At 40.6% G+C, this 20,593-nt stretch overlaps 1 protein-coding gene and 1 long non-coding RNA gene across 10 annotated transcripts in view; one reads left to right on the top strand and one right to left on the bottom strand.

The window, feature by feature from the left end:
• NIPAL2-AS1 (NIPAL2 antisense RNA 1) overlaps nt 1-20,593 on the bottom strand; it is a 72,899-nt gene that overhangs the window by 17,452 nt on the left and 34,854 nt on the right. The window lies entirely within an intron of this gene.
• Nucleotides 1-20,593, top strand: part of NIPAL2 (NIPA like domain containing 2) — a 104,410-nt gene that overhangs the window by 62,319 nt on the left and 21,498 nt on the right. For 3 of the 9 annotated variants that reach the window (NM_001321636.2, NM_001321635.2, NM_024759.3), the window contains exons 5-6: nt 9,317-9,438; nt 19,416-19,512. In NM_001321636.2, the coding sequence (NP_001308565.1) occupies nt 9,317-9,438; nt 19,416-19,512 (219 nt within the window). Of the gene's footprint in view, nt 1-61; nt 226-3,590; nt 3,713-9,316; nt 9,439-14,630; nt 14,879-16,083; nt 18,877-19,415; nt 19,513-20,593 lie in introns of those variants that run through there. The other 6 variants (NR_135746.2, NR_135747.2, NR_135745.2 and 3 more) reach the window with 6 other exon arrangements.

Here is a 20,593-nt window from a genome sequence, read left to right as displayed (position 1 = left end):
TGCTAAAAATTAAATTATCAAAATGTGTAAAGGAAAATCATTTATTTTTCTCTGTTTCAAGCAAATGAAAGTTTGTTTTTCATGATGGAACAAATGAAGATTTGGGGACCATGTGGAAACAAGCTGAACTAATTTATTGCCAAATGTTACTCTGTGACTGTGAAGCTTTTCATCACTAGTCTCAAAAAATGACCTCACAAAGCTATTTCTGAAAGCAATCGCCAGGTTATTAAGTCAATGACAGGTTTGGACTGTGCTCTGATTCTTAGTGGATTAATTATTTTAATGATTATTTTTCCTTTTAAAAAAAGCACCAGATTTCTCTCCCCTTCAATCGGCTGAAAACTATAGGATTTTCTTCTCTCTTCTCCCTTAGACGTCAAAAGCACCAAATCATCTGTGAGATCCTAGTTGATTTAAGACCAGATAGAGTCATCATGGAAATAAAAATGACAGTCAGCCTAAATAGAATATCAGGAGATTAACAGTGAGAGGAGGGCCATTTCCTTCCTTCCATTTCCCACACCAGAAGTCAGCTTGATTTGGAGCCAATGTCTAGAATACTAAACTAGCTAAATGACCCATCGTCTCTGGTTGAGAAGACAGATTGACTGTTTTGGTTGCAGAGCTGCCTCAAGAATGGGAGCCTTTCTGATGGAAGGTCTGGGACTACTTGAATTCACCACATCACCGAGATTTTCAATCGAGGGGTCCTTCAAGGTTTAGCTACCATAAGCCTGAGGAATCCAGAGAGACTGTACTTATGGGAGGGTATTTCCAAATGGTTTGATGTTAAGGAGTCCAATTTATTCTTTGACTCCTGTTATCCCACAAAAGCAATAACTGGACTCCCACTGACCAGGAGACATACTGCAGGGACCAAAGGGATTAGACTGCAATCTTTCCCTTGCAGTCAGGTTAGCTGAATAAGAAAAACTCTTAAGGCTCCTAAAAGTCAGGTCAGACCAGATTCCAGAAGTCAGCAAATGGGCACTTAATATTAAGTAGCATCCAGCTGGAAAGTGGACAAAATTCAAGATTTCAGGTTTTAGTTCGGGGAGAGAGGAGCTTGGGAACCAGGATATCTGTTGTGGAAGAACTGTGCAAGTACATCTTAGATTCCAAGACTCCGCCAGCTAGAGGTGCCAGTGAACAGAAGCTTCAGAAGGAGCCTGATTCTGGGGTGTTTTCCTCCAACCACATTTTTGGTGCACAGGTATCTATAGAAGACTTTTGCAACAGAACACTAGTAGCCTCCTGAAACAAAGGCATGCTCACAGCTGGATCCAGTTAAATATCAAGTATTTCCCAAAATATAAAATATTCCCCCAAAACACTACTTCAGTGCAATATAAATGGTCAAATATGTTTAGAAAATATGACAACCATATCCTCCTCTGGGAGATTTACGGTGAATGCTAATACATTAAGATCTGAGAGGTTTTCCAGTAAAAGAATGATTTAAGTTTGTTTAATTCACCTCTGCTCAAATACATTTGCCTTGGGACCTTTTTTGGTGGAGCATCTACCTTATGAAACTGGTTCCAGGGAACACCAGTTTGAGAGTGCTCTTCTAAAGGAAACTTAAGGCCAGAAAAATAACCTGAGACCAGTCAAGGACCCCAGGGTCCTCTGCCAGGAACAATCAATTCCTTTAATCCCCAATGAGGATGCTGCATATGGCCTCAGGTTGTGCTCTGTACAGCTCCTAGGGGTGCCACTCATATAGACTTCAATGTAAGTGACAGCCCTGAGCTGTCCATTCAGTGGCCTTAATTCTTAATGCAAATAAGAGGCTGTGGAGTATAATAGTTAAGAAAATAGACTACCTAGGTTCCAATCCCAGCTCTCCTCTTCTTAGCTGGAAAATCCCAGGCAAAATAGTTATTTCTTCTGTGACTCAATTTCCTCACTTGTCAAATGTAGATGGTAACAATTTAAGAGTATACATTATATAGTATTCATATTATATGTCATATACTATACAACTTATGTGTAGTATAAGTTGTAACAGTGTAATAACACAAAGGTAAATCATTTTCACAGATTTGTTGTGAGGATTAAATTAGTTATGTATAAAGCATTTAGAACTGTGCTTACAAGTATTAGTTATTACTATTATAGTTATCATCATCATCATATTTTAGCATGATGCTGATTATACCATAACTCTCATGTCAGCCATACATGTCTATGAACTCAATAATTTTAAGAACATCACCTAAAAAAAATTATTACTGGCTGGGCATAGTGGCTCACACGTGTAATTCCAGCACTTTAGGAGGCCAAGGTGGGAGGTTCACTTGAGACCAGGAGTTCGAGACCAGCCTGGACAACATGGCCAGACCCTATCTCTGCAAAAATTAAAATTAAAAAATTAGCCAGTCATGGTGGCACATGCCTGTAGTTCCAGCTACTCAGGAGGCCAAGATGAAATGATCACTTGAGCCCAGGAATTCGAGGCTGCAGTGAGCTATGATTGCATCACTGTACTCCAGCATGGGTAACAGAGTGAGACTGTGTCTCTATTTAAAACAAAAAAGATTACATTCCCTTGGCATATGCTCTCCCAGTATAACTAGTGTATCTATTATAAAAGGCAGGGATTTGCTTGTTTACCTGTTTTGCACAAATATCAAGTTTATAGGGAGAGGTTTTATTTAATATTTGTGTATGTTATCAAGCTAAATCTAAGATTCCCACCAGACGATTATAGACTTCTAAGTGACTTGAGTTGTATTTGATAAGAAAAATGTATTTGCTGCAGGTTTGGGCATGAGGGCAGAGGATGGCATCCCATGCCTGCATTGTGGGTAGCATCTAGCATCTAGACATTGGCTCTTACCTGCAGCTTACCCACAGCTGTCTGGCTGCTGTTTTATGTCCCCTCCAATATCCAGATCTTGGGACTCTATGCACTAGTTTCCTGAGGCTAGCTGTGGGTAGAAAACATAGGACTGCTATTTTTTCCTTCTTCTTTGTTATGTCTGTTAGTTATGCCATGTCCTTCTTTCTGTTTTCTTTGAAAACCAACAGCAAGAAGTCTTTGCTAGGCATTGAGAAAACACCAGCCAATTCCTTCCTGCTCATTCCTTCCATTCTCAAATTGGGTTATCTCCTTAGAGACAGCCCCAGTGATGGTCCCTGATCATCCCAAGGCTATAATATCAGAGACATCATTTTGGACTAATTTTTAAGCTTAACTCAGATGGCCATTGGCTCATGGCATGCCTGCATCCTGAGATGCATCCTGAGATGGATCTATCCAGGGTCTGCTGTCATGTCAGGCCTCTCAGTGGGCTTTGAAGCGTATTCAGTTCCTTAGACTGGCCTCTTGCAGAGCCAAGTTCCTGGGATTTTGCAAGTATGATGACTTAATTTGTACCTAGAGATGAGGAAACTGAGTCTGGAGTAAATAACTTGCCTAAGCTCTTCCAGGTAGCAAGTAGCAGTGAAATGTGAATTTTGTGGGGGCAGTTTCAGCTTGGATTAGGCTTCTGGGATCCAAGTCTTGACCTAAAATGCAACATTTCTGCGGGTGAGGAACATGTTGGTGATACCCTGCTTCCTTTTGGATCTTACATGACCAGACAAAGGAAGTGGAGCAAGATGGCTGAATAGAAGCCTCTACCAATCGTCCTCCCTGCAGGAACAGCAAATTTTACAAGTATCTACACACGAAAAAAGCACCTTCGTAAGAACCAAAACTCAGGTGAGCAATCACAGTACCTGGTGTTAACTTCATATTGCTGAAAGAGGCACTGAAGAGGGTAGGAAGGATGGTCTTGAATCACCAACACCACCTCTCCCACATCCTCCAGCAGTGGCCAAGTGGCACAGAGAATCTGCACACTCGGGGAAGAAGAACACAGTGATTACTTTGCACTGGAACTCAATGCTGCCAACACTGCGTAGAGCTCAGCTGATGGCCACAGAGGGAGCATTTAGACCAGCTCTATCCAGAGAGGAATCAACCACCCCAGAGGTGTGAACTTGAGTTTTGGCAAGCCTTGCCACTGTGGGCTAAAAGGCTCTGGGGTCCTAAATAAACTTGAAAGGCTCTCTAGGCCACAAGAACTGCAACTCCTAGGCAAGTCCTGGTGCTGTGCTAGGATTAGAACCAGTGGACTTGAGGGGCATGCGATCCAGTGAGACACCAGCTGGGCAGCCAAGGGAGTGCAGGCGCCACTCCTCCCGCAGCCCCTGGCAGCTCAGCTCACAGCTCTGGGAGAGCCTCCTTTCTTCCACTTGAGGAGAGGAGAGAGAATAAAGAGGACTTTGTCTTGCAACTTGGATACCAGTTCAGCCACAATAGGATAGGGCATCAGGCAGAGTCCTGAGGCCCCCATTCCAGGCCGTAGCTCCTGGATGACATTTCTCGACACACCCTGGGCCAGAAAGGAAGCCACTGCCTTGAAGGGAAGGACCTAGTCCTGGCAGGATTCATCACCTGCTGACTAAAGAGTATTTGGGCCCTGAATAATCAGCAGTGATAGCCACAGTACTCACTGTGAGCCTTGGGTGAGACTCAGAGATGTATTAGCTTCAGGTGTGGCCCAGCATATTCACAGCTGTGGTGGCTATGGGGAGGGACTCCTTTTGCTTAAGAAAAGGAGATGAATGAATAAAAATGATTTTGTCTTGCAGCTTAGGTACCAGCTTGGCCACAGTGGGGTAGAGGACCAAGAGGGCTCTTGGGGTCCCTGATTCCAGGTCTTGACTCTTAGATGGCATTTCTAGACTTCCCTTGAACCACAGGAGAGCCCACTTCCCTGAAGGGTAGTGGCAGGTCTGGCAGCATTCACCATCAGCTGACTGAAGAGCCTTTGGGCCTTATGTCACCATTGGCAGTACCCTGGCAGTACCTGAGGGTGGTGGACAGAGGAAAGACTCCTCTGCCTGGGGAAAGGGGAGGGACAAGTAGAAAAGACTTTGTCTTGTGGTTTTGGTGTCAGCCTAGCTGCAGTAGAATAGAACACCAGGTAAATTTCTAAGGTTTCTGACTCCAGGCCTGGCTCCTGGACAGCATCTCTGGACCCACCCAGGGCCTAGGGGAACTTGTCACCCTGAAGGGAAGGACACAAACCTGGCTGGGCTTTGCCACCTGCTGATTATAGAGCCCTAGGGCCTTGAGCGAACATAGGCAGTAGCCAGGCAGTGGATACAGCAGGCCTTGAGCAAGACCCAGTGCTGTGCTGGCTTCAGGTCTGACCCAGTGCAGTCCCAGTGGGAGTGGCCACAGGGGTGCTTGTGTCATTCCACCCCTCGCCCCCAACTCCAGGCAATTCAGGACAGAGAGAGAGAGAGAGAAAGAGAGGGAGAGAGAGAGAGACTGTTTGTTTGGGAGAAAGTAAGAGAAGAGAACAAGAGTCTCTGCCTGTTAATCCAGGTAATTTACCCAGATCTTATCCAAGACCACCAACATAGTACCTCTACAAATCTGCAAGAACTACAGCATTACTGGGCTTGGAATGCCCCCTCATGTAGATATGGCCACAGTGACCAAAAACTTAGATCACAATACCCAAGTTCCCTAAAATACCCAGAAAGCCTTCCAAAGAAGGATGGGTACAAACAAGCCCTGACTGCAAAGACTACAATAAATATCTAACTCCTCAATGCCCAGACACTAACAAACATTCACAAGCATCAAGACCATCCAGGAAAACATGACCTCACCAAACAAACTAAATAAGTCACCAGGGGCCAATCCTGGAGAGGCAAGGTTATGTAACCTTTCAGACAGAGAATTCAAATAGCTGTTTCGAGGAAACTCAAATAAATGCAAGATAACCCAGAGAAGGAATTCAGAATACTATCAAATAAATTTAACAAAGAAATTGAAATAATTCAAAAGAATCAAGCAGAAATTCTGGAGTTGAAAAATGCAACGGACATACCAAAGAATGCATCAGAGTCTCTTAACAGCAGAAATGATCAAGCAGAAGAAAGAATTAGCGAGCTTGAAAACAGGCTATTTGAAAATACAGTCAGAGGAGACAAAAAAAGAATAAAAAGGAATGGAACACGCTTACAAGATCTAGGAAATAGCCTCAAAAGAACAAATCTAAGAGTTATTGGCCTTAAAGAGGAGGTAGAGGGAGAGATAGGATTAGAAAGTTTATACAAAGAGATAATAACAGAGAACTTCTCAAACCTAGAGAAAGACATCAATATTCATGTACAAGAAGGTACAAGAAGGTTCATGTACAGAACACCGAGCAGATTTAACCCAAAGAAGCTACCCCGAGGCATTTAATCATCACATTCCCAAAGGTCAAGGATAAAGAAAGAATCCTAAAAGCAGCAAGAGAAAAGAAACAAATAACATACAAAAGAGCTCCGATACATCTGGCAGCAGATTTTTCAGAGGATCTTACATGTCCAGATTACTCCTTTCGGCAAATGGGCCAGCAGAAGGTAAACTAACAAGTTTCCTAAGTCAGAAATCTGTCTTTCAAAAGAAGGAATATATGTGGCTTTACCGAAATAAAAATGGGGGCAGGAACTGACGTTTCATACCACTTTTAGAAAAAGGTGGAATATAAATAAGTTTAAAAGGAATTTATTTAAGGAAGTGCAAATGACTAACACTTCTAAACACTTATGAAAAATGTGCATACAACTCATAAAGGGGACAGTAAATCACATAAATATAAATGACACCAAATAAACAAGCATGCAACTGGTGGCAGCTACCCAGAACTGCCTTTGTAATTATTGCAGATAGCTGAAATAAAAATTATTAAGAAGAAAGAATGTGTGACCTGCTGAACTGCCATAGTTACGTAGCAGATGCACAGTGATGTGAGGCCCAGATGAAATAATATATGTGAAAGGGACTTAGAAAGTATAATTGCAGCCGGGCACGGTGGCTCACTCCTGTAATCCCAGAACTTTGAGTGGCAGAGGCGGGCAGATCACCTGATGTCAAGAGTTCGAGACCACCCTGGCCACCATGGTGAAACCCTATCTCTACTAAAAATACAAAAATTAGCTGGGCGTGGTGGCACGTGCTTGTAGTCCCAGCTACTCGGGAGGCTAAGAGGAGGATCACTTGAACCCAGGAGACGGAGGTTGCAGTAAGCTGAGTTTGCACCACTGCACTCCAGCCTGGGTGACAGAGCAAGACTCTGTTTCAACAAAAAAAAAAAAAAAAAAGAAAAGAAAGAAAGAAAGTATAACTGCAAAAGCATCAGCCATTTTATATTTTTAAAAAGTTTTGAAATGCAGTGAAATATACCCTGTAAATATATACACCTCCTACGTACCCACAAAAATTACAAAATTTAGAAAGAAACGCAACGAAGATATACATTGATAGGGACAGTCATGGAAGGCAAATGCAGACGTGGATGTGAAGTAGGGAGGGATATGTCAGGATGTGAAACAGGGACAATATTGGAAACTGGTTCAGTAAACAGTACTACCTCCATGAGGTAGAATACCAGTAGATTTAAAAAGAATGAAGCCACCCTGCATTTACTGATGTGAAATGTCCTCCAAAATGTTCTAAGCAGAAAAAAAAAGCAAGATACAAAAAAGTTTATATAATACGCAATTATTTATGTAAAAAAAAACCTCATGTACACTTATACACACATGCATAAAACATCTCTGAAAAGAAAACCCCAGGAACTAGTGGTAGTAGTTAACTTTGAGGAGGAAAACTAGTGAACCACCAGGGTACATGAGATTTAACTTTCCACCAATCACCCTTGTGTATTGTTGGAATTTTGCCATATACATGTGTTGCCTACTCAAAACTAAATTTAAATACAAGAAAGTTAATAGAACTGGATACTATTAGAAGAGATAAAGGAGTGTCTGGCAGAGGAGCTTGATATAACTAGAAATCTGGATTTCACAAAAGAAACAGAAGTATCTGAGACATCTTAAAGTAATATGCTACTTTACCATACCAAGTTTAGAAAACAGTTTTTTTGAATCTCTTCCTCCTAGGAACCTGCTTTTGAACAATTATGTAATTTTTTTTCCAAAGAAAAGACATGACTGACCAATAATTTTCTCCCAAGTTCTTATATATGGTTTTATTATTTAGTGTTTAATAATGTATACTGTTTTTTGTTTTTAAAGTTCTTATTAGAAATAGCTTTAAAGATTGCATATAATCTGTCTTCACAAAGTATTACAGAATAAATTGTTACATTATAGGAAACTTCCTTGTAGCTCTACGATACCCTGAATTGCTGTTGTCTAGCTTTTGCGAAAAATCAAATGCTATTTGCTTCCAGGAACTAGAGTTCAAAACCTAAGTCATTTGCATACGAGGAACAGGAAATTGGTGCCTTCAAATTGTGAGACTTTGTAGACAAACCAAATTGTTTCAGGTTGGAGTCTATGTTGGTTATAAATTATATCCACAATAGCACTGACCTCAGAGATGAAGCAAGTTGAAGCAAGTTTTCAAGTGTGCTATCTAAAATATGCTACTTATACCACGGGTGTTTTGTCAGACTGCTAATTATATATAAATAAGCAGTTTTCAACATTATTTGGAAGGGCAAGTCCTCCCTTCACCCCTTCTTCGGTGGCCTCACCCCCTAATCCCCCTACACACATTCCCTTCTGTCATTTTAAGTAATGCTAAACCGATGGCAGTAACACATTCCTTACATAGGTTTATGACGTGGTTTCTATTTTATTTTTATTTTACTAAGCTAACCTTGGAATTCTATATTCTAGATTGGATTAATTAAACTCCTACAGCAAAGCCAGCATTCACCTTTGTTATTGCTGCTAAAAGGACTCCAATAAATGGCAGTGATTAAAGATGCTCATTACCAGAGTTTCAAATTGTTAAATCACCTGAGGGTGCTTCAAAGCCCCAGGGATGAGTGAGTGTAGAGCAGATCATCATGTGATAGTTTCCCTGTCCTCTGGACTGTGCCATCTAGATCTAGACAGATCTAGATGTGTCTAGATCCATCATGCACTTACTGACCCATGAGGAAACAGTCAGCTTAGGAGGTGTTTTCACGTCTTCGTAGCACATATTCTGATCTTCCCAATCATTGGGGAAAGTTTCCCTGAAGATGCTGGGATTTATCCAGAACAATAGAGAAAAATTGGAAGTTATGTCCTGCCCCATCCATCCCCCGGCTCTATTCCCCTGTAAAGGGAATGCCTTCAGGTGAATGTGGACGCTATCCAAGGATGGTTTGATGAAACGGAGTATAATAGGGAGGGGCGATTGGCACTTTTACAAGTAATGCGCAGTCTCTAGGCAATGTCTGCGTCAACAAAAGCTTTAGGTTGGTTTCAATTTGGTTTTTCTTTTCAATTTTATTTAAAGGTACGACACTGGCATTTGCAGGAACATATTTACTGGTGAACTTTGCTCCAAATATAACTCAGGCAATCTCAGCAAGAACAGTACAGTATTACCTTGTCGGATGGCAGTTCCTGATCTATGTGGTAAGAATTCTAAATATTTTACTATCCCCGAAGCTATATTATCCAGACCACTGGTCCATGCAGATATTAGAGAACATAATCTTTTCCTTACCAGCACTAATATCTTATTAAAATCTAAATGTATTTGACCAATACCAAAGTATTTGAAATACTAAGTCAGCAACAGAAGCACCCTTAGTTTCCCAGGTATCCTTTCCTGGAACAATTTCCACATCGATTAATCCACCAAGTTCCAGAGCAATACGTTTTAGGAAAACTCAGAGTAAAAAAAAACATTCCCTTCCAAGTTGAAGGGACAATACTTAAGGACACATTTTGCTTTACTGAACTTTATTCAAAATAGGGGTTCTCTTCAAAAAAGTCCTTGTTTTTTATGGCTACATAGTATTCCATGGTGTATATGTGTCACATTTTCTTTATCCAATCTATCATTGATGGACATTTGGGTTGGTTGCAAGTCTTTGCTATTGTGAACAGTGCCACAATAAACATATGTGTGCATGTGTCTTTATAGTAGAATGATTTATAATCCTTTGGGTATATACCCAGTAATGGGATTGCTGGGTCAAATGGTATTTCTAGTTCTAGATCCTTGAGGAATCGCCACACTGTCTTCCACAACGGTTGAACTAATTTACAGTCCCACCAACAGTGTTCCTGTTTCTCCACATCCTCTCCAGCATTTGTTGTTTCCTGACTTTTTAATGATCGCCATTCTAACTGGCGTGAGATGGTATCTCACTGTGGTTTTGATTTGCATTTCTCTAATGACCAGTGATGATAAGCATGAGGGATAGCATTAGGAGAAATACCTAATGTAGGTGACAGGTTGATGGGTACAGCAAATCACCATGGCACATGTATACCTATGTAACAAAACCGTACATTCTGCACATGTATCCCAGAACTTAAAGTATAATAATTTAAAAAAAAACTTGATAGATGTAGACAAACTGCCCTCCAAAATTTCCATATTCATTTACATTCCCATTAGTACTCTCAACCAATATAAAATATTTAAACTTGTATATTTTTCTCTTTTATTATATTTTAAATTTTATATCTTTAATTTTTCCAGTGAAAAAGATTAAAGTGATTTATTTAAAAAAAAAAAAGTCCTTGTTGAGATCAATGCCACAGACTGTCTGAGAGGAGCACACAACAGTACTACAATGCCAAGAGATGTATAAAAGAATGAAATGAGGCTGGGCACGGTGGCTCACGCCCGTAATCCCAGCACTTTGGGAGGCCGAGGCGGGCAGATCACTTGAGGTCAGGAGTTTGAAACCAGCCTGGCCAACATGGTGAAACCCCATCTCTACTAAAAATACAAAAATTACCCAGGAGTGGAAGTACACACCTGTAAACCCAGCTACTCGGGAGGCTGAGGCAGGAGAATCACTTGGACCTGGGAGGCAGAGGCTACCGTGAGCCAAGATTGTGCCATTGCACTCCAGTCTGGGCGACAAGAGCAAAACTCTGTCAAAAAAAAAAAAAAAAAAAAAAAAAAAAAAGAATGAAATGAACTGATAGAGAAATATGAAGGTGTTAACTGGGTTATCTTGTTTGATGCAGTGGCTGTATCTGTAGGTATAAAAAAGAATATGATCGAAAGGGCTGATATGCAACTTGTCACAGAAGTTAGTATAGATTGGGGAATAATAATATTCTAGGAAGGGTATGTAATAAGAAGAAAACTGGGATAGTCTAGCTGAGTATTTAACCAAGAACCGGTTTGGTAAAATGGTTGCGAAATCAATAAAAAGAATTAGGCTGGGCGTGGTGGTGTACATCTGTTACCCAACACTTCAGGAAGCCAAGGTGGGAGAATCACTCGAGCCCAGGAGTTTGAGACCAGTCTGGCAACATGACAAGACCTCAACTCTACAAATAATTTTAAAAATTAGCCAGGCATGGTAGTATGCACCTGCAGTCCCAGCTACTTGGGAGGTTGAGATGAGAGGATCTTGAGCCCAGGAGGTCAAGGTTGCAGTGAGCCATGATTGCAGCTCTGCACTCCAACCTGGGTGACAGAGTGAGACCCTGTCTCAAGACAAAAAAAAAAAAAAATCAAAGCACACAGAATTATACATTTTTAGAATTAGAAATGACCTCAAAAGCTAACTGGTCTAGCCTTCTGCCATTAAAACAGGTAAAATAGTATGATCCTACTTTATATGCCTAGTATTGAAAAGTGTGACATTGGCATTTACAGGGACATGTCTACTGAGGAAATTTTGCTCTAAGTACAGGACCGAAGCAGTTCCTAGTGTATATGACAAGAATTCTATATATCCTGCCATTTCTGATATGTATTCTGACCACTAGAACACAAATACTTACAGATCTTTTTACTTTCATTTCCTTTGTTTCCTTTTCTACTCCTTTCTCTTGCCCTACAAAGATACTTAGGTTTCTCTGTTTAAAAAAAAAAAAATTCTCATACACTACACACCCCTTTAATAAACTGTCCAATATCCCTCCTGCCATTTATACCAAGAATGTCTTCAAATAGTCTACTCTTGCTGGCCCTGTCCACTTCCTTAGCTCCCACTAACTCTTCACTCATTCCAATCTGTGGATGGGGCTGTGGGTCAAAGGAGGTAGGGGACTTTGCTAGCAGAGGGAACAGCAGACAGATAGAACAGCACTGCGTTATGTGGCTGGAGGGGGCTCACCGGTCAGATTTGTTTATTAGGAGGAGCTTGTACACACAGTGTTGATGATGAACAGCAGGGGAGGCAGCCTTGTTAAGAGGTTGCAGACACAGTCCAAGCAAGAGATGATGGAAGCCTGAATTAATGCAACAGGAATGGGAACGTAGAAAAGGACCAAGTTCTAGAGTATTTACATTCCCAACAGGAAGGGGGCTAGGAGTGACGAATGAGGGTGTAGGAGAAGTCTGGGGAAGTAAATTCCTCTCCATGAATTGCCAAAGGAATTGCTTTTTTTGGTCCTGATTCTTCTTGAACCTTATGCAGCATTTACTCCCTGGCCCATCATCTTCTGGAACCTCTGTCCTCCTTGCTTCCTCCAAATGTTTTCCCTGTCTCTCTTCTTCCTCTCTGACTAATCCATGCCAGGCTCTTGAGCACTTCCTCTTCCTCTGCCTTGCTTCTATTGATGCTGCACACTCTTCCAACGTCTTCTAAAAGAATCCCGTTGCCCATCCACCAGCATCCTTTTGAAATACTTCCTAATCCAGATCTACCTCTCCTTCCCAGGCCCCTCCTGAGCTCCAGATCTATATTCTTATCTGTCCACTTATTACTCAACCCTGGATGTCCCACAGTCTCCTTAAATGTAACATATCAAAAACCAAACTATCTTCTCCCCCAAACTCTCTCTTCTCTTCCATGTCAGCCTCCCATACTGGAAACCTAAACTACACATGACTTCTCCTTCACCCTCATTCCTCACTCCTACCCCTGATCCTGTTGGAAATGTAAAGTCTCTTGAACTTGACCCCCTTTTCACATTCCCATTCCTGTTGCATTAATTCAGGCTTCCACCATCTCTTGTTTGGACTGTGTCAGCAGCCTCTTAATAAGGCTGCCTCCCCCTGCTGTTCGTCATCAACACTGGTACAAGCTCCTCCTAATAAACAAACCTGACCAGTGAGCCCCCTCCAGCCACATAACGCAGTGCTGTTGTACCTGTCTGCCTCCCCTACCTCCTTTGACCCACAACCCCATCTCCTTATGACCCCTGAAAACTCACCCTCATGGGCATGGCTCAGATTGGACCTCTTTATCTATTTACCTGCCTGTCTTATTCCAGAAGACCCTGCACTTCTTCAGGATATGAACTTGTATTGGTTGCTCAATGTATCACTCAGGCCATCAGTCATAGTGCCCTGCCTATTTAAATCCCTGATCCTCATATGTTATGGTCCTGAAATTCATTTTCATAGGCCTTATTTCTACCCTAGTGCTGTCACTTCCTAGCTCTTCCCCTCACCACTGCCCTCCTTCAGGCTTTAAGATTGGGCTTCCCAACTCAGATTGCCTGTCTCGGGTCTGTCATACTTTGTGCCAACCCCTCTGCCCCATTTATCTTCCTACTTTTATGCCACACTCAGTTCTTTAATTATCACAGCTTTCATCAGTCCGTGATAAGCACTAGAAGGAGTTCTAATCTCTGTGATTTAGTTCTGTTTTTTATACTTTACAGAAAATTTCATGATAGTCCAGACTTGAAGCCTTACCAACAAATTATTACTCTTTGCCTGCAGGCAAAATAAATTCTTCATCTAGTTAAGAAAAGGGTCACATAGCCTGAAACGAGAAAATTAATGGCGTGAGTTAAATCCTTTGTATATTAAAGATGCATCAAGACTTACTTCCTGGAATAAACAGCATTGTTTAATGATGATCTATCTTGTATTGCTTTAACACCAGAGAAAACATTTGAAGAGATCCAAACTACTTTTTATTAAGCTGTGTATTTCCACAAAAAGTACTGAGATTAATTGCAGTTTGCCATTTTTCCAAAATCAACTCTTAAAATAAATTTATTCGTTCATTTATTCACGTATCCATTAAGTGGTGGTTAGACACCAAATTTAGAGAAAGGAATTCCCGTAGCAGGAATTTTACAGTTCTGGGAGAAACCCATATATCTGAAAAATCATATTAAGATAAAGAAAGTATATTTGAAAGTAAATGCCACAGAGAAAAATGTAAATAATTTCAGGTATTTATAACATAGCATAAAATAAACCTTTAATAAAGTCACTTTTGAATAATACTGTTGGCATTAGACTCTAAGGAGAATAGATCTATATTATATTCATTTGTAATCTAATTCGTTATATAATTGCATCTCTAAAGACTCTAGAAGTGATGAATTTTATACTAAGATTGTGAGCTGAAATTTGGTTTGAATCTGTTAAACATCTAAGTAATATTTAATCCTCAGATGTGGCAAATTCTGTGCTTTTCTGCAAGCCCTGGCTGCAAAGATAATAATTACAGTAATTAAGACTATTCTTTGACATATCATTCATCTAACTCTATGTATTATACCAAGTATAAATAAGAGCACCTGAATTGGCTTTCGGGACTGATCAAATAACTTCTAAAATATGTATAAGCCTGAATACATTTTATATTTCTCACAAAAGGAATCATAATAGTGCGGCACCCACTGGCTCACATCAACCCCTTGTCTTGTGTGTTTGCGTGCCCCAGACAGATGTCTGTTTTTCCTTCAAGATTTACATTAAATGGAAGCCTCACAGAGACAAGGCTCAGGAGCTTTTCCTCTGATCTGGTACAGAAAAGAAAGGAAGGAAGATTTGAGAAGCCCAGTGTATACCAGCCAGAGAAGAATAAAGTGCACTCACTAAAACAGCCTTTCCCAGCCTGTCTGCTGCAGATGGGCAATCCCCATCCTTGCCAAAATGCAAAGAGGAGTGGAGTTTTCAAGGTCAAACTAGGTGAGAAAGATTCTGCATAACATGGCCTGTCTGAGAAATTCATCATCTCTGTTAGCATGTTAAAAGCTATAAGTCCTGTAAGAATGAGAAAGATTTGATTTTGTTAATCCTACATGCCCAGGCTTATTTGACCATGAGGCCCTTTTCTTGGAAGGACCTTTTGTTGAGTAATACCTATGAGCAAACGTGTTCTGCAAAAACCATGTTAGAAAATGCAGCCCTGATTCTCAATTACTTCATGTTCTTTGGCAGGCTTGGTCATGGCTATTTTGCTCACCCAGATTTTCCAAAAGATTATTCAAATGGAACCTCTTTTGTGAACATAAAATCCTTCACAAAATAATCTGCACATTGCTCATTTTCTCTCAGACAAAAAAATTAAATCAGCAGATGCTGGGGCCAAGCCTGTCATTTGGTGTCATTCTGTACCCTAAACCGGATTATTAAGTCAGCCTTTCTGGCAAAGCTGCAACAAAACCCACCATCAGGTATTAGAAACCTAAGGGAGAAAACTGTATGTTTTTATAGGACATCAATATCTATGGCATGATGTTATTTGCTTTATTGTCTGAATGCAAATAGCACTTGTGTGTCCACACAAGGGTCCACTTCTTCGGTAGCAGAGTGGCTGAGCCCTATGTCTAGCTCAGACTACATTCTGTTCTTTACCTGCATACTGGCCGTATACATGGGCCACTGTTATCCTCTGCATCTGATAGATGGGGAAGTTGAGGCTGGAGAAGGCCCAGGAACTTGTTTAAGGTCACGTAAGTACTAAGTGATAAAGCCAGAATTCAAAACCAGTTTGTTCACTTCTGGGGTGCACAGGCCAATACACCTCACTCAATGCCTCTCTGCAGAATTAATAAACTGACTACCAAGGATCAGATCTTTGTCCAAACATGGCCTTAGAGAGAACCTTTGCAGAGCTCATTTGTTTTAGACAGAGAAGCCATATGCTATGGCCATAGGCTATGCATTTGAGAACTTAGTGAGGGAAGATGAGGTCAAATCGGGCTCAGATATTGGTACTGGCAGTGGGGCATCCAGTGCTAAAATTTTGTCTATCTCTTTTGCCACACACCCCTTCAGCTGCCAGTGCTCTTTGTATTAGGTTGATGCAAAATTAATTGAGGTTTTTCCCACTGAAAGTAACTACTTTGACAAATTGAAAATTGTCTACTTTTGTCTATTTTTCCTTCAAGGCTTACATCAAATGGAAACCTCACAGGTACAAGGCCCAGGAACTTTTCCTCTGATCTGGTACAGAAAACAAAGGAAGGAAGAATTGCACCAACCCACCAACCTAATACAAAACCCCTTTGCTGTGTAAAGTAACATCATCACAGCTTCTAGAGATTAGACCAGGGACTTCTATGGGGGCCATTATGCTGCCTATCAGAGCTGCATCATTTAGCCCCTCTGAGCCTCAGTTTCCTCACCTGTAAACTGATGATAGCACCTACCTCCTAAATGGTTGTGAGGATTCAACGAATTCGTAACAGGAAGCTCTGAGAACAGTGCACAGGGTATGGGGGACACACAGTAAGTGCTGTTACTTTTTCTAACCTGTGAGATTGCAATCAATAATGCAGCCTCTTCCTGGGGCACCGCAACCTGCAGAAATCACAGCTTCTTTAATATTGATGTTTTCAGGGAGAAAAAAAATGTTGCTAGAAAAAAATCAGCATTAATTCATACTGCTTTAATATTTTATTCCTAGGAGCAGTGTGACTTCTTGCCACAAGGCAGAACCAGGGCAACTATAGTTATTCTGTGAATAATGGGAACTCATGTTTTATTTATCTGAAGCCACAGAGATGGAATTTAACCACACATGAAAAAAGTCATACATGGTTTCTAGAACTGATAACAAATACCTGCAAAAATTAATAATCAGCATGAGAATCGATTTACCTAATAGGCTCTGTGTGTTAACACAGGAAGAGCTTTCTTTTCTCCAGCAACAAATACAGCGGCCCAAACGCTGCTGTGAATTGTCTATAATTGTCTCATGCGAGAAATGGAAGCCTGTGGTTGAGGGGAGACTGGGCCCAGAGGGATATTTCTGTTAACAATTGGTGAAATGGACAGAAATTAGGACACCCAATGTTTTGATGGCTGTTTTAGGGAAGGCAAAGAGATACGAGTTTAATAGCTTTTGTAGCACTACTCAATTAAATCAAAGGTCTGGCAAATAAGTCCCATAAGAAACAGTTAAAATAATTGGTTTAATTTACCCGGAGAAGAAAAGACAAAGGGATGAGTTCATCTTCCATATTAGATGAAAAGGTTTTTAAATGAGGAAGATAAGGGCCTGCTGTTTCCCATGCCCACAAAGGATTAGAGAAAAAAACAAACCCACAAGCAAACCCTTGAATGGAAACAAATTTAAGTTGATTTAGAGAGGGCGTTGTAGGTAGAATGCATTCCTCAAAAGAGTGAGGTCCCTAACTCCTGTGGTTAAAAAAAAAAGAAAAAAAATTAGTGATGGTACTGTCTGCTGTTAGATAAGTAAACATTCATACTTACAAATTCAGCCCAAGAATACCATCTCGTCAAAAATAATAGCCTGGGCCGGGTGCGGTGGCTCATGCCTGTAATCCCAGCACTTTGGGAGGCCGAGGCAGGTGGATCACTTGAGGTCAGGAGTTCAAGACCAACATGGCCAACATGGCAAAACCCTGTCTCTACTAAAAATACAAAAATTAGCCGGGCGTGGTGGCGGGCACCCATAATCCCAGCTACTTGGAAGTTTGAGGCAAGAGAATCACTTGAACCCAAGAGGGAGAGGTTTAAGTGATCTGAGGTTGTGCCATTACACTCCAGCCTGGGCAACAGAGTGAGACTCCATCTCAAAAAAAAAAAAAAGATGTTAAAACAAAAATAAAACTGAGAACTCAAAATTACACTAAAGTTCTTAAGGACAGGAAAATTTTAGACTTTCAGTCAATTAATATTTATTGAACAGTTTATTAGACATTAGGTCTTTTTTGGCAACTTATTCATAATAAATTTGAGGTGTGATTTACTCATTAATTCCATCAGTACTCATTGAGTGACCGACTGTATGCCAGGCACCAGAGATTGGGTGGCAAAAAGAGTAGGTAAGATTCCTGTTCTAGGGCTGGCATTCTAGTAGGGAAGACAGACAAGAAACACATAAACATATGAACAAGAAATGATGACGGCAAAATGCTCCACAGCAACCTGAAGCTGGGGGTGTGACAGGATAATGAGTGGCTCTGTTAGATCAGAAGAGTGAGAAAAGAACTCTCAGAGAGGTGGCATTTGACCTGTGAGCTGAGTGACTTGGAGGAGGCATTGTGCAAAGATCAGTGAAAGAGCATTCCAGGCAGAGTGAACAGTTAGTGCAAAGGCCCACAGGCAGGAGCAATCTGAAGATTGCAAAGAACTAGGAAAAAAAAAAAGAATTTTTAAAAATTGCCATGAGGCTGGCACAGAGTGGACCATCCAGGAGTGAGTGGTACAAAATTAGGTCCAGGGAGTTGCCTATGACTTTATGATCCAGGAGGGAGTTTGGATTTTATTCTAAATGTGATAGGAAACCACAGGAGGTTTCAGCAAAGGAATGAATGGGTCTAGTTTATATTTTTACTACATGCATCATCCTGGAAGAATGTCACAAATATAATACATGGTGAAAAAAAGCAAGCAAGTGAAAGCAAGTATGATTCCACTTGTATAAAGTCCAAACATGCAAAAATAAACTGGGTACCATTTAGGGACATATAAAAATGTGATAAACCATAAAGAAAGTGAATGATAAACACAGATTTTCCGTGTAGTGGTTCCTGGGGAGGTTGAAGGAGGAGGGGAGTGCAGCTGGAGAGGGGCACATGAGAGACTTCAGAGGTGTCGGTACGTTCTGTTTCTTAGGTTGGGTAGAGACTCTGTGAGTGCCTGTCATATTACTCTAAATCCCTTTGATGTGCATCATATATGTTCTCTATGAATAAAATATTTCATTATCCAAATTGTGTTTTTAAATGATTCCTCTGGCTGTGGAATGGCTGGATTATAGAGAGGCAAGAGTAAAATCAGAGATGAGTTAGAAGCAAATGCAGCTGTCTAGAGAGGAAGGCAGGGAGTGAGGGAAAGGGGTTTGGGGTTTGTGCAACACGGAGTGTGGGAATGCCACTAACTGGCAGGCAAAGGCCCTGGAGGAACAAGCTGGGAAGGTAGGGAATCTAGTGGGAGGTGTTACCCACATTATTGTGGCGTGTCTATTAAACATGCATGTGGAAATGTCTCATAGATACTTGGGGAAATGAGGCTGAACTTCCAGGGAGGTTAGGACTGGAGATCTAGATTTGGGCATCCCTGGCAGAGAGGGACGTTCGAGCTCTGGGTCTGGATGGCCGAGGTGCTTATACTGCTCTCCTGTGTCATCCCTAGGAACCTCAGTCACCCTCAACGCTCATATGAGAATTGCTGCAAAATCAAAATGAGAAGTGTGACATTTTGAAGACTTTGCATAGAATAACTTACTCTTTTCCATCTTTTTCATTTCTAGATTTTAGAAATATTAATTTTCTGCATTCTCCTGTATTTCTATAAAAGAAAAGGAATGAAGCATATGGTGATTCTGCTAACCCTGGTGGCAATTCTAGGTAAAGGCATATTTTGTTTTCTTATTCTTTAATTGAGCTGTGCTGAGTCATAAATGAGGTTTGAAGGAAAATACTTAAGCATTCTACTCCTTTCTCATGGTTTATATTTTTCAGCTCTGATCTATAGGAAGAAACTGAGTCTAAATTATAAAAATTATATGTTGCCTGTCCATTACTGCAATTGATATATATTTAATTTTTAAAAAATACATTTAAGGATTTTTTGCTTCTTGATAACTTTATTTGCTCCCTGATAATTTGAAGATATTTTGTTAATAAGTAATTGAAAATCTTAAAAGAGAAACAAATTAATGATCCCAATTAAAACTCTTGTGTCAGGAATTGGTTAGCAAGACCTATACTATTTATATTTTCTTTAAAAACTCTATAATATGACTAATACGAAATGTAGATGTAAGCAGTATGATTTTCTTAAATATCACATTTCTTTCATTCATTGTTTACCAACCCATTTACTTTGTTTTTCCAGAGGCACCTTGTTAGAGTTGAAAATGAGTGCTTAGATAAGCCCACTATGTATTTTTAATGTATCTTCCCTCCCTTCTCCTTTTCTGTGTCTTTCTGTCTCTCTGTCCCTGTCTCTTTCTTTCTCTCTCTCTCTCTTTCCCCCACCCCTACACACACACACACACACACACACACACACACACTTTCTCTCTCTCTCTCTCTCTCACTCATATATACCAACACTAGGAGATCTCACTAATCATTTAGGAAATTCCCTTTAAAAAAATGTATTTGTAAATCTTCATTTCCTCTTAGCCAGTCAGATGGCCCACACATCATGTGCTGTTTGCCATGACTTGGAAGGCTGTACTCATACCCCTGGGGCAGTATGCAGCCTCCATGTTAACGAGGTGCTGGGTTTTCATGTTCCTATCTCATCAACTAGTTCTCTCCTTTGTACTAGAAAATTTGTGTTTTTGATAGTTACTTATAGAAACAGATGTACTCTGTGCTATATTCAGGTATGCTATAGATCAAGAGAACAGAAAGAGAACTTTATATTTGTTTCTTTCCAAATTACCAAGTAGGGAAAACAAAAGCAGACAACTAAGAA

The sequence above is a fragment of the Homo sapiens genome, chromosome 8 (genome assembly GCF_000001405.40).
Source record: "Homo sapiens chromosome 8, GRCh38.p14 Primary Assembly".
Classification (NCBI taxonomy): domain Eukaryota; kingdom Metazoa; phylum Chordata; class Mammalia; order Primates; family Hominidae; genus Homo; species Homo sapiens.
This window is presented reverse-complemented; position numbering and strand designations above follow the sequence as displayed.